The 16,471-nt window shown below is 43.8% G+C and overlaps 1 long non-coding RNA gene and 1 pseudogene across 1 annotated transcript; both read left to right on the top strand.

The window, feature by feature from the left end:
- Positions 1-5,894: 5,894 nt before the first annotated feature.
- Positions 5,895-13,734, top strand: LOC124900618 (uncharacterized). The gene is made up of 4 exons (XR_002958507.2): positions 5,895-6,156; positions 6,257-6,391; positions 6,854-7,755; positions 13,401-13,734. It is a non-coding gene; the product is annotated as an uncharacterized LOC124900618 (long non-coding RNA).
- On the top strand, positions 15,999-16,471 carry RPL23AP24 (ribosomal protein L23a pseudogene 24; annotated as a pseudogene).

Below are 16,471 nucleotides of genomic sequence, written 5' to 3'. Positions count from 1 at the left end.
CAGATTTCCTGTATTGTGCATATGTGCGTGCATGTATGTGCCCTCAGCCATGATGTAAAGTGTTTTTCTGGCTGGGGTTGCATCACAGAGTTTGGAAGCCACTGCTCTGCAGATTCTGAGGACCACCTCCCTTATTTCTCACCAAATTCCCATTTCTTCTGTTTTTGTTCCACCCAATGCAAAAAGCATACTGCCTTCTCTTCTGCATTGGTGGGCAGCGGGTCCTGCAGCTCAGGTTTCTCCAGCCAGGGCCCTGAACGTGAGCCTGGTGGCGTGGGCAGGGGGCTGACTCCATGTGGGCCAAAGGCAACCTATCCAGCTCTTCAGAATGGCTTTTCTCTCCTCCCTATAAAACATATTTTCTCTCCTCCCTATAAAGCCTATTTTTGTATTAGGGTGTTTGTTAAAATGAAAACATGAGATCATTGATGCATAACGAGAAGCCGTGTCATTACTTCCCAGGCCCTGTGCAAGGTGCAAATTGGCGTGTTAGTGGCTGTTTGCATCTTTTCAGTTCCTTTCGTCTTTTCTCCTTATCCTGCCCTTTATATGGTTTCTGCTTTAAGTCAAACATTGTGAGTGGATTGATGGACATATGTGTGTGTGAGCGTGTGTGCACAGATGCATGAGAACTGCAGAGAGAGATGGGAGGTAACCAGGGGGATCACTGTTCTCTTCTTCCCAAACATTAGCGTTAGGCTGTTCCGCTTCTGTTCTTGAGAGGGCACCCACATTACTGCTTGGGAGCCTGGAAATGGCCCCACTGAAGCAGCTCTGAGGCCCTGGACACCCTTTTCCTGGTTGTGGCCAGCTGAGTTGTTCATGGTCCTCCCCGTGGGATGTGCTTGGAGCATCTGCTGGTAGCAGAGCCTCAGTTCCTCTCCTGCGTTCTTTCGCTACAGGTGTTAGACCTGCTGCCCACCTGTGACCTGTTTACTGCCAGGGATAGACCTGTGGCCAGTGTGGAAAGCGAGATGCTTTGTCCATACAGCCTGCGGGGCTCAGCCTTCCCGGGGTTGCCCACAGCTAGGCTGGGCCAGGACCCCCAAGCCTGGGAACTTACACCTTTCTCACCTGCTTTCCTAAAGGTGGTTTTCCTTTGTGATCTCTCTCCCTGAACGGCTAAACCACACTCTGAATAGAAAACTGTCTTGAAAACTGCTTTGCACGTACATCTGATAAGGTCCTCTGGAGGGCGACCTCCACTGTCTAGTGGGCGAGGATTGTTTAGCCGCCTTGGCTGAGTCACCGAGCTGCCAAGGGCAGACTGTACCCTGGGCTCACCAGCATGCAAAGATATTTTATTCATTTATTTATTCCATAAATATATATTTATATTATTTATATTTAGAGCCAGTGTATCTCTCTGTCGCTCAGGCTGGAGTGCAGTGGCACTATCTCACTGCAGCCTCAAGCTCCCGGGCTCAAGGAATCCTCCTACTTTGTCCTCCCAAACAAAAATATTTTTAAGGAGCCCACTAGGAGAGTGCTGAGTTTAAAATCTAAGTTCTTGTTTCTTTTTTCTTTTTCACTGATGCATAATAGATGTACATAGTTTCAGGGTACATGTGATAGTTTAATGCATTCATATAATTGTGAAAATCAAATCAGCCTACTTGGAATATCTATCGCCTTAAATATTTGTTTTTGCTTTATGCTAGAACCGTTCCGATTCTTCTCTTCTAGCCATTTTGAAATATACAGTAGGCAATTGCCAACTATGATCTATGTAACACTAGGTCTTATTCCTTCTATCAAACCACGTATTTGTACCCTTCAATCAACTTCTCTTTCTCCCCCTCTCCCCGCTACATTTCCCCACCTCTGGTAACCACGCGTCTACCCTCTGTCTTCACGAGAGCTACTTTTTTAGTAGGTGGGAGAGAACATTCAATGTTTGTCTTTCTGTGCTTGGCTTATTTCACTTAACATAATGATCCCTAGTTCCATCTTGTACAAATAACAGGCTGTCGTTCCTCTGTATGGCTGAATAATATTCCACTGTGTATACACACCACGTTCTGTTTATCCATCATCCGCTGATGAACTCAGAGGCTGATTCCGTATTTTGGCGATTGTGAGTAGTCCCGCAGTAAACATGAGAGTGCAGATGTCTTTACGATATATTGATTTTGTTTCTTTTGACTATAGGCCCAGTTAGTGAAATTACTGGATCATACAGCAGTTTTACTTTTAGATGGTTTTTTTTTTTTTTGTTTGTTTTTTGAGATGGAGTCTTGCTCTGTCACTAGGCTGGTGTGCAGTGGTGTGATCTTGGCTCACTGCAACCTCTGCCTCCCGGGTTCCTGTGTTTAAGCGATTCCCCTGCCTCAGCCTCCCGAGTAGCTGGGATTTATAGGTGCGCACCACCACGCCCAGCTAATTTTTTGTATTTTAGTAGAGACGGGATTTCACCATGTTGGCCAGGATGGTCTCGATCTCCTGACCTTGTGATCCGCCCGCCTCCACCTCCCAAAGTGCTGGGATTACAGGTGTGAGACACCGCGCCCGGCCAACTTTTATTTATTTATTTATTTTTTAAGGAGGAGTCTTGCTCTGTCACCCAGGCTGGAGTGCAATGGTGCGCTCTCTGCTCACCGCAATCTCCACCTCCTGTGTTCCAGTGATTCTCCTGCCTCAGTCTCCCAAGTAGCTGGGATTACAGGGTCGCACCACCACGCCTGGCTAATTTTTTATATTTTTAGTAGAGATGGGGTTTCATCATGTTGGCCAGGCTGGTCTCAAACTCCTGACCTTGTGATCCCCCTGCTTTGGCCTCCCAAAGTGCTGGGACCACAGGCGTGAGCCACCGTGCCCGGCCCCTTTTGGTTTTTTGAGGAGCCTCCATCTGTTTTCCATAGTGGTTGTACTAATCAACGTTCCCACAACAGTGTGTGAGGGTCCCCCTTTCTCCACATCCTCGCCAGCATCCCTTATTCCCTGCGTTTTTGACGAAAGCCATTTTAACTGAGGTGAGAGAAGACCTCATTGCAGTTTTTTATTTGCGTTTCTCTGATGATTAGTGATGTTGAGCATTTTTTCATGTACCTGCTGGCCATTTGTACATCTTCTTTTGAGAAATGTCTACTCAGGTCTCTTGCCCATTTTAAAATTCGATTAATTGTTTGCTATTGTTTGAGCTCCTGGTTATGAATCCCTTTTCAGGTGGGTAGCTTGCAAGTATTTTCTCCCATTCTGTGGGTTGTCTCTTCAGTTTGTTGACTTTTTCCTTTGGTCTGCAGAGGGTTCTTAGCTTGGTGTGATTTCACTTGTCTGTTTTTGCTTTGGTTGCCTGTGCTTTTGGGGCCCTACTGAAAAAGTCTTTGCTGAGAACAATGTCCTGGAGCACTTCCCTAATGTTTTCTTCCAGTAGTTTTATACTTTCAGGTCTCAGTTTTACCTTTAATCCATTCTGATTTGATTTCTGTGTATGGTAAGAGAGACGGGTCTAGTTTCATTCTTCTGCATATCTTTATCTAGTTTCCCCTGCACCACTTATGGAAGAGACCGTCCTTTCGCTCGTATGTTGTTGGTGCCTTTGCTGAAGATGAGCTGGCTGTAAATGTGTGGATTTATATCTGGGTTCTCTATTCTGTTCCACTGGTCTATGTGTCTGTTTTACGTGATTACCAGGCTGATTACCAGGCTGATAGGTTGGCTCATGCCTGTAATCCCAGTACCTTTGGAGGCCCAGGTGGGAGGATCACTTGAAGCCAGGACTTCAAAACCAGCCTGGGCAACAAAGCAGGACCCCATCTCTACAATGTTTTAAAAAATTATTTGGTGCAGTGGCATACACCTGTAGTCCCAACTACGCAGGAGGCTGAGGTGGGAGGATCCTTTGAGCCTAGGAGTTTGAGGCTGCTCTGAGCTGTGATTGTGCTACTGCACTCCAGCCTGGTTGACAGAGCAAGGCCCTGTCTCTTAAAAAAAAAAAAAAAAAACTATTGCAAGAGGAGAGAGAGAGACTGAATTCAACTCTCAATACAACAGAGACAAGTGGGGATAGCCAATGAGCAGGGTGAGGGAGGTGATGAAAAGTTGTTGAAAGGAGCTTGGTTAGTTAGCAAGGGTGGGGAAGATTCTCACTAAGGACCTTAGCAGCATTCCTTGCTAGCACTGAGCTCAGCAGGCCAAGGATGAGGCTTCATCAAGGAGAAGGCTCAAAGGAGCCTGAGTGGAGTTTGGTCAAGGAGAGCGTCTTTGTCATCCTTGCAATGACTCATTTTATAGGTAATTAAGTAGGGGGTTCAGACAGGTCAAAGACTTACCAAAAAGAGGAAATTGTGTCCATGTGGCTGGTGGCTCACCCCAGGAACTGACAGTGGCTTACTCTCAGAAACTCAGAGTGTGCATGTCTCTTTGAATCCGTATCTGTGTGTGGGTGGGTGTGTCTGTCTGTGTGCGTGCCTCAGTCTCTTCTGAATTTCTCTCCCAATCCCCGTCTCTCTTTCCTCGGGTTGGTGTTTCCCTCCTGCTGGCCTCTGGCCAGCTATTTCTGGAAGTGTCAGCTGCTCTGTCTTCCTGCCCCTGTCTCCACCATCACGTCTGTGTCTGACTCCCTTTCTTTCCCATACAAAACCCCTAATGCAAGTCCTACTGTTTCTGTAACTGGCCACTGCCTATAACAAATCTTTGCTTAGGTTGTGTTTCTTTGTAGAATAGACTGATGTACTGTGTGCTTGATTTTTACAAGATGAGCACAATACCTTATCTTTCTTCTTTATTAAAAAAAAGGAAAAATCCAAACACAAGATTAATATCTCGTCATGGACTGTGCCCCGCTCGAGCCTCTCCACATGCAGCAGGAAGGAAAGTGGAGGGAGCTGCTCCTTTCCGTAGCCGGGGTGCCCACCCCAACCAGGCTGCCTCTGCCACCCAAGACAGAGGTTCTCTGATAATAATTTGTGGGGCTTGTTTCCAGAGACCACACCTGAAGCTGCCAACTCCCCGGAGGGAAGGTCCTGATTAATGGCCGATGAATTTCTCCTTAAGGCCCTGAAACTGCCTACTCAGAACCAAGCCAGTTTTTCCTGCCTGTCCTGTTTGGGCAGGCAGAGGAGGCAGCTAGAAACCCATTATGCAGGGGATGGGGGTAAGTGGAGGAGGGAGGGGTCGGGGGAGGAGTGGGGAGGAGGAGGAGGGAAACAGGAAACCCCAGGCTTTGGCTATGATGGGGTCAGCCTTTCTACACCATTCCGGGATGCTGGTGTCCACCACTGCTGCCTGGGCACGGGGAACAGAGAATCTGCCTGGTGGGAGCAGACAAGAGGTTCGAGGACCAGAGCTCATCCTCTTCGGTGTGTGCCTGGGAGGAGGTGTAGGTGCAGCCAGTGGGGTATGATTAAAAAGAAGGGACGCGAGTTTAGGGGACAGCCGCCCACGTGCACCAGCTCTCCGTGTGCCAAAATCTTGCCTGTCAGGGACCAGGATCCCACTTCACAGTTAGCAAATAGCAGCTCAGGGACATTAAGCAACTCGCCCAGCATCCCACCAGCAGACAGTCTCGCCTTCAGGGTCGTCTGTGTCTGTTAAAGTCGAGTCTAGTTTCGGGTCTCAGAGCACCTCCCTAAAGCTGCCGTAAACCAAGAATAAAATTCTAAGCCCCACAGCCGATCGCGTGGACCCCGCCTCTGGGCCAAAGGGATTCCAGAGAAACCTGAAGAACTAGTTCAGGCCGTGATGAGGAGGAGTGGGGGCTGGACAGGCCTCATTGTACCCTCCTCCCTTTGGAATTTGGGCAGAACTGACCAGAACCAACATTAAAACAGAGATCTGAAGACTGACAAGGCTCTCTAGCAATAAGATACCAAATTCCAACCTGATTCCAGTGCAGCATCACATGACAGACAGAGGCCATGAAATCAATATTTTACCTCAAAATATATTTCTTTGACATACTTTGAAATGGCCCTGCCAAGCTGTCTCTTGTGGGGGACATTTACATTCTGTAGAGAATCCCTTCCCTTTCCAGGTCTTTCTCTGATCCTGAAGACATTGGCTGAGAGCCTAGCACCTTCTATGGGTCTGAACAGGAAACATTTGCCATCTATTGTCTCTAAGGGTGGCCACCTATGAAACTTCATCTACATAATAAGAACCTTGGTCTGCACAGTCTCTTATCTTAACCCAGACTCTCCTTTCTATTGATAGCAGGTCTGTAGATAATAATTCTTTCAACCAATTGAGAATCAGAAAATCTTTGAATCTATCTATGACCTGTAAACCCCATTACTTTGAATTTTCCTCCTTCCAGACCAAACCAATGCACAACTCCTACGTACTGATGGTGGTCTTACGTTTCCCTAAGTTTCTGCCGACTAAACTGTGCACACGTTCTCAGGACCTCCTGAAGCTGCGTCACAGGCGCTGATCAAAGAACACAACCAAGGTGAGTGTCAATCATTTCAAGAAATCTGTTTGCAAGGTTAAGGACACACCTGAGAAAAGAACAGAGAACCACAGGAAAAACTGTGGTCCGTGCTTTTCCCAAAGATTGTCTGGGGACCTCAGTAAGTAAAGGGGAGAAGTGTGGGTGTTGGGGAAAGGGGAAGAAGTGGAAAAAATGGGTGTGGGTAAATCAGAGGCAAATGGTTGCATTCTTCTGTCTTTGGTCAGCGTTCACTGAATACACATTTTACATGTGATGGAGGTAGAGGCAGGGATGTAGCTTTTTTATCTTTGTGTAATAGCTATCTTATTTAGGAACCAGATGGGAAGCAGGTTTGCATAAGCCAGTTCCCAGCTTGGCTTTTCCCTTTGGCTTAGTGAGTCTGGGGTCCCAGGATTTATTTTCCGTTCTCACAGGTTGTGGTCCTCACATTTGGCTCAAAATATTCAAAATTTTTTCCAGAGTTTGGCCTTTTCTTCAGCACTGGGAATTGTGATCCAAAGCTTTTCCTGATGAGGCACAAAGTTGGAGAAACAAAACGCAAACTAAGCAACAATGAAACAGAACAGAGTGAATCTGCTGTAGCTCAAGAGAGGACGTAGCTGCCCCCACCCCGCATCCCTGGGCTCGGGTTTGCCTTGCTGACCTCTGCTGCCACCTGGTGCCGCACAGAGAAACTGAGGAGAAACCACATCAGTCTCCTTCAGCCTCAGCTTCACATCTGTGGGTCAAGCAACCCTTTCAGAAGCTGTATAATGTGGGAAAGCTTTCCTCTCAGGAAAATGCACACATCCAACTTTGAGAAGATGCCCTTGGGGGCGCTTCAAGGATCCTAGATAATAACCCCCTTTCCCGAACATCCAAGAACCTAAGTTTTTTTTTTTTTTTTGAGAAAGTCTCGCTCTCTCTCCCATTCTGGAGTGCAGTGGCGTGATCTTGGCTCACTGCAAGCTCCACCTCCCAGGTTCAAGCCATTCTCCTGCCTCAGCCTCCCAAGTAGCTGGGGCTACAGGCACCTGCCACCACACCCGGCTAATTTTTTTGTATTTTTAGTAGAGACGGGGTTTCACCGTGTTAGCCAGAATCGTCTTGATCTCCTGACCTTGTGATCCACCCGCCTCGGCCTCCCAAAGTGCTGGGATTACAGGTGTGAGCCACCACACCTGGTCCAAGAACCCAACTTTTAGATCTAGAGTGATGTCAGCATGACATTGATTTCCTGAGGCCCAGGGGTGAAGGAGCTGAGGACAGCAGAGGGGTGAAGGAAGTCAGCTACAGACAGCAGCAGCTGATGCACAGGCCTCCCAGCGCCTGAAGTCACCCGGAATTGGGAAGTGCTCAGAAGCTTACAAAGCTGCCTCGAGGTGGGAACACAACATTAATCCAAGAGTAGATCCCTGATCCTATAAAAATGTACTAGATGCAGTGGGGGCATTTTAAATGAGCAGGGCAGGACAGACAGATAAACAGAAGGACAAACAGTATTGGGATTGGGATAAATGCTCAGCTTTTGCCCAAATCTTAGTGACTTAAGCATCACTTATTTGCTCACGATTCTGTGGCTGGACCATTTGGTTTGGCTCACAGGGCAGGGACTGTGCTGGTCTTACCTGAGCAGACCTGCATGTCTGCGGTCAACTGGGTTGGCAGAGACAGAGTGACTGTCTTCCTCCAGGAAGCAGCAGGTTAACTGGTTGGCAGAGACAGAGGGACTGAGGGACTGTCTCCCTCCAGGAAGCAGCAGGTTAACTGGTTGGCAGAGACAGAGGGACAGAGGGACTGTCTTCCTCCAGGAAGCAGCAGGTTGGCTCTGGTTCCTTCGTGGGGCAGCTGGTCTCCAGGGCAGCAAGAGAGACCAAGCCCCCGTGCACATTCTACAGCCTCTGTGCACATCAGACTTGTTAATATCCCATTGGCCAGTGCAAGTCACACGGCCAAGCCCAGATTAAGGAGTGGAAAGATGGACGCTATCTCCTCCTGGGAGAGGAGGCAAAGGAGGTGAGAGCATTATGTGGCCACTTATGTTTGCAATCTACCATACTTAGCCCTTTGAGAAAAGAATTAACTGAGAAACTTGCTTCAAATAGGGCATTCAGTAAAATGAAGCCCCAATTGAAGTAAAATGCATATATAAAAAATGAAACTGTGACCGATTTTAAGGACAGTATTGGCAAATATTTCTGTGCTCTTGGAGGAGAAGACCCTTATTGGCATGACGTGTCAGAAACCACAATGAAAGAATTATTTTAACTTGCATTCATAAAAATTAAAATTATTCATTAAAAACATCGTGAATGAAATTAAAAGTCAAAATGTAAGCCAGAAAATTATTTACAACATATGTGTCAGGAAAAGACAATACCCTTCAGACTTTGAGAGTTTACATCAGAAAGAAAATAGCAAATGACATGATCCAAACTTGATAAAGGACATGAAAAAGAGCCAGCACTTAGTATGTTTTCTGAATGAATAAGTAGCCAACAGCACATGAAAATGTGTGTAATCCACTTGTAAGCAGAGAAATGCAAATTAAAACAGTAAAGTGTCATTTTCACTTCCTGGATTGGCAAAGGGTTTTATGTATTTTACTGACAGTGCTCAACATTAGCAGTAAACAACAAATGGTGAGTAAATACGAGCTTCGGAACCTCAGGGAAATGATCTCCTTATTTCAACCTGTAGATTCCTTCCTACAACCAGTGTAGAGCAGAGTACCAGGACGGGCCATTGAGCACCCTGGTGTTGAGAGCAAGTGGCCTCTAGTCAGAGTTGGGTCAGGGTCACTGTGAGTGGGCTGCCCCCAACATGAGTCAGCTGTCTAGGACTAGTTTATCTCTGCTTCTCACTTTACTGGTATTATGGGGCAGCTCCTGCTGTCTTCCAATTTGGTGTCTTCCAAATCGGCACCGTCTTTTAAAGTTGAGTTTCTTGTTATTCTCACCTGATATACCTTATTTATCCCACACCCACCCCAATAACATATCGTGCTCAGTGTTATCTTTGAGACAACACTTGAATTTTACTCAGCCTGGCGTGCTCTTCACATGTCTTGTCTAGATCCAGTTCGGACTCATTCTTCAGCCGTGCATCAGTAAATGGGGGCTAGGTTAAACTGTGGTGACAAACAACCTCCAAATTTCAGTGGCTCAAAAATCTTCTTCCTCATTTATTTACATTTCATCATGGGTCAGGTGAGAGGTAGCTCTGTGCTGTGTCATCCTAACACAGGAATCCAGACGGAAGGAGGGACAATCAGTAAGATCCCCATTGCTATAGAAAAGAGAAAAAAGTATGCGGAATAGAACTCTGTTTCTTGGAGATTTCTCCTGAAAAAGTCACATGTTATTTCTTCTCACCTCCATTGGCAAAAAAAAAGTCACGTGGCCATGTGAAAATGTAAGTAGGCGGGATGGAACAGTCAGAATGCATTCATAAAATATGAACTGAAAATATCTGGAGAACAGCACCTATGACTACCACGAATGCCAACATGCATCCCTAACAACCCAGTGCTGTCACCCTCCAAACTTTTTATGTCTTGCAAAGTATTAGAACTTCTTATCTGAAGCCATACCACTCAGAGGGAATGCAAAATACATATTGACATCTCCTTTAGGATGTCCTTAGAGAATTCAAGGAAAAGAAGTTAAATAATTTAAAAGTGCTTTTGGGTACAGCTATTTAGCACTAGAGGGTAAGATTAGACATAGATTGTAAAGATAATAATAGGGTTAGGGATAGGATTAGGATCTGGGTCAGAGTCAGGGCCAGAAGTATGGTTAGAGGTGGGGTCATGGTCAGGGTCGAGATCAAAGTCAGGGTCAGAATTAGGGACCAGGATAGGGATCAGGATTTAGGTTCAGTGTCAAAGTCTTGGGACAGGGTTAGGGTTAGGATTAGAACCAGAGCTTTGTTCTCCTCAGGACCCACCCGAGGACGGGTCACCATGGCTTTGGAGCACCTGGTAGTGTGGCATGTCCACAGTGAAGACCAGAGTTTCATTGTCCTTAAGACTGACCTGGGGAGACGTGGCTGCAGGCCATTGAGGAAGGTGAGGAAAAACTTCCTGTCTGCTCCCCGTGTGCTGAGGAGGGAGCTCTGCCGTGGGCTTTACTTTCACATGTTATATTCCACAAGTCTTGTTTTACAAAAGCATCCCTTCCTTGAGGCTTCGGCTGCTCATCGCTGCTCATCATCATAGCGTGCCATAACATATAGTAAGATTTGGGTTTGTTTCTGGGGAGAGATCTTGGTATAGAGAAAGGAGAAATGCTTAGAGCCACCATCAGGACAGTTGGGATGAAAGTTGGGTATAGGCAGAGGCTGGAGGAAACATGTGCATCCCCTGTAAACACTTTTATTCATGTTTTAATTACTCATTTTTCTTACAGTGTTAAATTAGTAAAGATAGTATTGAAAAATTGAAAAGTAGGCATATTAAAACCTGCAACACTATTTAAGCTTAGATATATTATTTGTACCTCATCAACATTTTTTATTTTGTTGAGAAAGTTTAAGGTTAATTGACAGCATATTTCTAATAGTAGATAGAATAACATCCCTTTTATAAACATTGACATCCTACATTACATGTGTGAACCCTGAAAATCTGAGACAGCTCTCAGATTTTTTAGAAAGTTTATTTTGCCAATCTTGAGGATGTGCACCTGTGATGCCTCCTCAGGAGATCCTGACAACATGGGCCCAAGGTGGTCGGGGCACAGCTTGGTTTTATACACTTTAGGGAGACACGAGAGATCAATCAATATGTGTAAGATGTACATTGGTTCAGTCCAGAAAGGTGAGAAGGCCAGACAGGGGGCTTCCAGGTCACAGGTAGGTAAGAGACAAATGGTTTCATTCTTTTGCATTGCTGATTACCCTCTCCACGTGAGGCAATCAGGTATGCATTTATCTCGGTGATCAGATGGGTGTCTTTGGATAGAATGGGAGGCGGGTTTGCCCTAGGCAGTTCCCAGCTTGACTTTTCCCTTTAGCTTAGTGATTTTGAGTCCCCAAGATTTATTTTCCCTTCGTAAGTGTTCCTATGAGTATTAATTATTCATTGTGTCTTTTATTACACAAATAAGGCACAGATTTTTAAGAAATCATCAACTTCATGGCTACCTATATAGACATAATTACATAGAAGCTCAACTAAATTTGCAAACATTCCAGAGTTTGGGTTTCCAATAATTCTTTGTGATTCTTTAAAAGGTAAAGTATTTTTTCCCATAAAACATAGCAACATTTAAAATCAACCGTAGAATGTCCTGCCATTTTTGTTTCTCTAGTTTCCTCATTTTCTGCAAAGCCTCACTGAGGAAATTGACTTTGAATATCCTTTTAGACTCTTGTTTTAGAAAGCATTGTGGTAAAACATTGAATCATCGTGGTCACAAGTTCTGTTCACATTCTTTCTTTCTTTGAATATTTTTTCCCAGTGGCCAATATTTGATTCTGTTGTATCATGGCTAAAAGGTAGGCATGGCAACAAAATAAAGACAAGAAGTCTTTGGAATAATTGATCCCATCACAATGAATCAATTTGCCATTGGAACATGTTTTTACAAAGTCACTCTTTTGAAAATATTCAGCTATGACTTGAAACAGAGTCTGTATGGTTAATATTTTTCCTGGTCTAAGATGAACAGCATTTTAGAGAATGAACCCAGGACACAACCACAGCACAAGAAAAACATGTGATAATTAAGTTTACACATGTGTGTTACTACAGTAACAGAAAACATGTAAAGAACATTTGATTTATGTATCAGTCTGCACTGTTTAATTTTTTGTGTCATAATTGCTCTTATTTTAAAAAACAGGACTAGTTAACAGTGTCAATTACTAGTAATTCATGGTATAAATAATTAAACAAGGAAGTGTTAAAAAAAGTGTTTTAAATAAAGTTTTATTTTACGTCTTTTTTTTACTTACACAGAAATCGTCAAAAAAAAAAAGAGATTTCCCATGTAGCCGCAACCTAGTTTCCTCTCTTATTAACATCTTCTATCAGTGTGTCTCACATGGCTTATTAATATCTTACATAATTTGCCGCAGTTAATGAACCAATACTGATAGACTGTTATTAACTAAAGTTCATATTTCATTTGGATTCCCTTAGTTCTATCTTACTCTGACCCAGGATCCCATCCAGGATCCCACACGACATGTAGTCATCACATAGGCTCTTCCTGGCTGTGACAGTGTGTTAGGCTTTCCATCTCATGATGACCTTCATAGCACTGAGGAGGATTGGTCAGGATTTTTGTAGAATGTCCCCCATTGTCACTTCATGTTCTCAAGGTGAACTGTCAGCTTTGGTGTTCACTTGGATCATTTGGCAGAGCTACTGTTTGTCAGATTTCTCCACTGTGAAGTTATTTTTCCTCCTTGTCCATACTGCATGTGTTCTTTTGGAGCAAGTCACTATGCAGAGCCCACACTTACGGAGTGAGGAGTTGGCTCCACCTTCTTGATGGCTGAGTGTCTACATCAGTTATTTGGAATTCTTTTGCAAAGGAGATTTCTATGCAACTCCATTTGCTTATTCACCTAGGTATACAAATACAGACACCTAGATAATTACTTTAAGCTTTAGTTATTATTCGACACTATAGCATTATGTTGCACAATTCCTTCCTGTGTTGGCCATCGGTAGCTGTTTTTATTGGCTTTTATTTTTGTTTGATATATTTTAATTTTTTTAGTACTTACTTTCTGATACTTCCAGATTATCCTGGCTCCTATATTTACTGTCCCAGTTCTAGTATCAGACATTTCTTCAAAGAGCCTGATTCCTTTCAGAATGGTGGGAAAACTTACATGTGGCTGCTGAATGCACATTGTATCTTGTCCCTCATTAGCAATGCTAGGAAGCATATGTGCGTGTCTAACCTACCTACACACACCTAATTATAAAGTTTTCTATGTAGAACTGTGTGTATCTATATTAAACTAAGCATAAGTTTACGTTGATGTCTCCACCTCTGATCTACTATCACAGGAATCATTCTAGCCTTCTCGTCTTGCTAATTTGTAACCTCCCACTTCAACAGTGAGAAAGCTGGTTCCCACCATCTGCGACTTATGTAAGTCATTGTTTTACTCCAGATACAGACACTGTGGTTTTACAATTGTTCACAATTGCTTCTGTTGGAAAGAACTTTATAAAATGGAATCCAATAATGAAGTATAGTTCACGTGCCTTCAGCCTACAGATTCTATTCATTTTCAAAGTTTTTACCTAGATTTGTGTCTTAGTCCATTTTGTGCTTCTGTAACAGAATACCTGAGGCTGCGTAATTTATAAGTAAAACAGTTTCATTTGGTTCACAATACTGGTAGCTGGAATGTCCGAGATTGGGCAGTTGCATCTGGCGGGGCCTCAGTCTTTTTCACCTCATGGTGGAAAGTGGAAGGGGAGCAAGGGGTGCACCAGAGATCACATAGCAGAAGTGAAAGCAAGAGGGAAGCCAAGGAAGCCAGACTCTTTTTAATTACCTACTCCTGCAGGAATTATCTATTCCTGTGAGAACAGAACTCACTCACCCCCATGGAGGACATTAATCTATTCATGAGGGATCCGTCCCCACGACCCAAACACCGTCCACTAGGCCCCACCGCCCCACACTGACACAGTGGGAGTCAAATTTCAACATGAGTTTTTGTGGGGACAAACCACATCCAAACCATCGTAATTTATAGCATAAATTCTTTTTCACATGATGTATTCTGTCCTGGGATACTCCACATCCTGAGTAATTTGATTTAATTTGAATAGAGTTTGCTTTAACCATTTGGCTGTAAAATTCTGCATATTTCGACAAATGCATTGTGGCAGATATCCCACTATTAAAGTATCATATGGAATGCCTCAAACCCCCACCCCATGGAGCCAATGGCTTCCCATCTGTGTAGTTTGCCTTCCCCAGTGTCTCATTAAATGAGGTCACACTGTGTGTATCCTCCTCAGACTGTCTTCTTCCACTTAGCAATGTGCATGCAAGATTCACTCATGTCTTTGTGTGTGTTGATATCTTGTTCCTTTCTATGGCTAAATAGTATTCCATTACATGAATGTAGCACAATTTGGTTATGCATTTTGGGGAGTAGAACCTTCCTCTTCTAACTTTGTTCCAGGGTTGGAGACCTTCAAATTAACTGACAATAGATACATTAGTAGGAGAGACAATACTTGGCTTCTTGTTCCCCAAGTATCATTGTGGGACAAAATTCATCAGATGGCAGGATCCAGTTTACAAAGAGGTAAAAATAGCCCAGAAACAAGAAACAAGACTAGAATCTGATAACTCTCAATGGCTATAGTTTTCCTTTAAAAAAATTTTTTTTGAGACAGGGTCTGGCTCTGTCGCCCAGGCTGGAGTGCAAAGGTGCAATCTCAGCTCACTGCAACCTCTACCTCCTGGGTGCAAACGATCCTCCCTCCTCAGCCTCCTGATTACCTGGGACTACAGGCACATGCCGTCATGCCCATCTAATTTTTGTATTTTTGGTAGAGACGGGGTTTCTACCAAAATATTCGATTTTTTCTGTGGCAGACAACATTTATTTATTTATTTATTTAGAGACAGAGTCTTGCTCTGTCGCCCAGGCTGGAGTGCAGCGGTGCGATCTCGGCTCACTGCAAGCTCTGTCTCCTGGGTTCACGCCATTCTCCTGCCTCAGCCTCCCGAGTAGCTGGGACTACAGGTGCCTGCCATCACGCCCGGCTAATTTTTTATATTTTTAATAGAGATGGAGATTCACCGAGTTAGCCAGGATGGTCTGGATCTCCTGACCTTGTGATCCACCTGCCTCAGCCTCCTAAAGTGCTGGGATTATAGGCATGAGCCACTGTGCCTGGCACAACATTTAAAGTAATAATTGGAATTATGACTCATTACTCTATAGTGGCACATAGCATGGATAAGGAGGACATTGACAAACTTCCAGGAATTTTATATAATTTCTGAAAACATAACATTTTACCCATACAAATATAACACAGGGAAGGTTAGGTATCTCTTTTTATTTGTATCTTCTGTATGGTTTTCCTTATAAAAAATGCAACCTACTTTACTTGCGAAACATGCCCTACTTTTCTTGCATGCTTTGCATAGAGTTGTTTCTAGTTATTCTATTATTTCTAGTAGTTTTATTTACATATATTGATTATAATTTTAATACTTAGTAATCTTTTATTTTCCAGAGAAAACTAGGAAGTAGACAGTTATAAACTGTCATATATTAGCATTCTATAGTAGGTTAGAAAATGTATGAATATACCATCTCCCAACATCTAGAGGGATGTGTTTCCTCATAATACAATTCCTCAGTGTGGCAGAAAAAAACATGTTTATTAACGGGCCAAAATATCTTTAGTCTCTCTGTAAAAACAGGAAGCCAAAAGTATATAAACTTGAATTATTTATGTTCAGTAATTAATGTTTTAGTATTGTATCTTATTTATAAATGGTCTAGATATTTAATGCAAATCTTTTACTTAGCTTAACTTTAAGGTTAAAAATTACCAAAAGTACTTTGGAAACTATTCTTAGGCAGATTTACTGTAGACAAATTATTTTTGAAATAATGTTTTTCGCTTTTCACAAGACGGCACCGAAAGCGAAGGAAGCTCCTGCTCCTCCTAAAGCCGAAGCCAAAGTGAAGGTTTTAAAGGCCAAGAAGGCAGTGTTGAAAGGTGTCCGCAGCCACACGCAAAAAAGAAGATCCGCATGTCACCCACCTTCAGGCGGCCCAAGACACTGCGACTCCGGAGGCAGCCCAGATATCCTCGGAAGAGCACCCCCAGGAGAAACAAGCTTGGCCACTATGCTATCATCAAGTTTCCGCTGACCACTGAGTCGGCCGGAAGAAGATAGAAGAAAACAACACGCTTGTGTTCACTGTGGATGTTAAAGCCAACAAGCACCAGATCAGACAGGCTGTGAAGAAGCTCTATGACAGTGATGTGGCCAAGGTCACCACCCTGATTTGTCCTGATAAAGAGAACAAGGCATATGTTCGACTTGCTCCTGATTATGATGCTTTCGATGTTGTAACAAAATTGGGATC

This window comes from Homo sapiens, chromosome 1 (genome assembly GCF_000001405.40).
Source record: "Homo sapiens chromosome 1, GRCh38.p14 Primary Assembly".
Lineage (NCBI taxonomy): Eukaryota > Metazoa > Chordata > Mammalia > Primates > Hominidae > Homo > Homo sapiens.
This window is presented reverse-complemented; position numbering and strand designations above follow the sequence as displayed.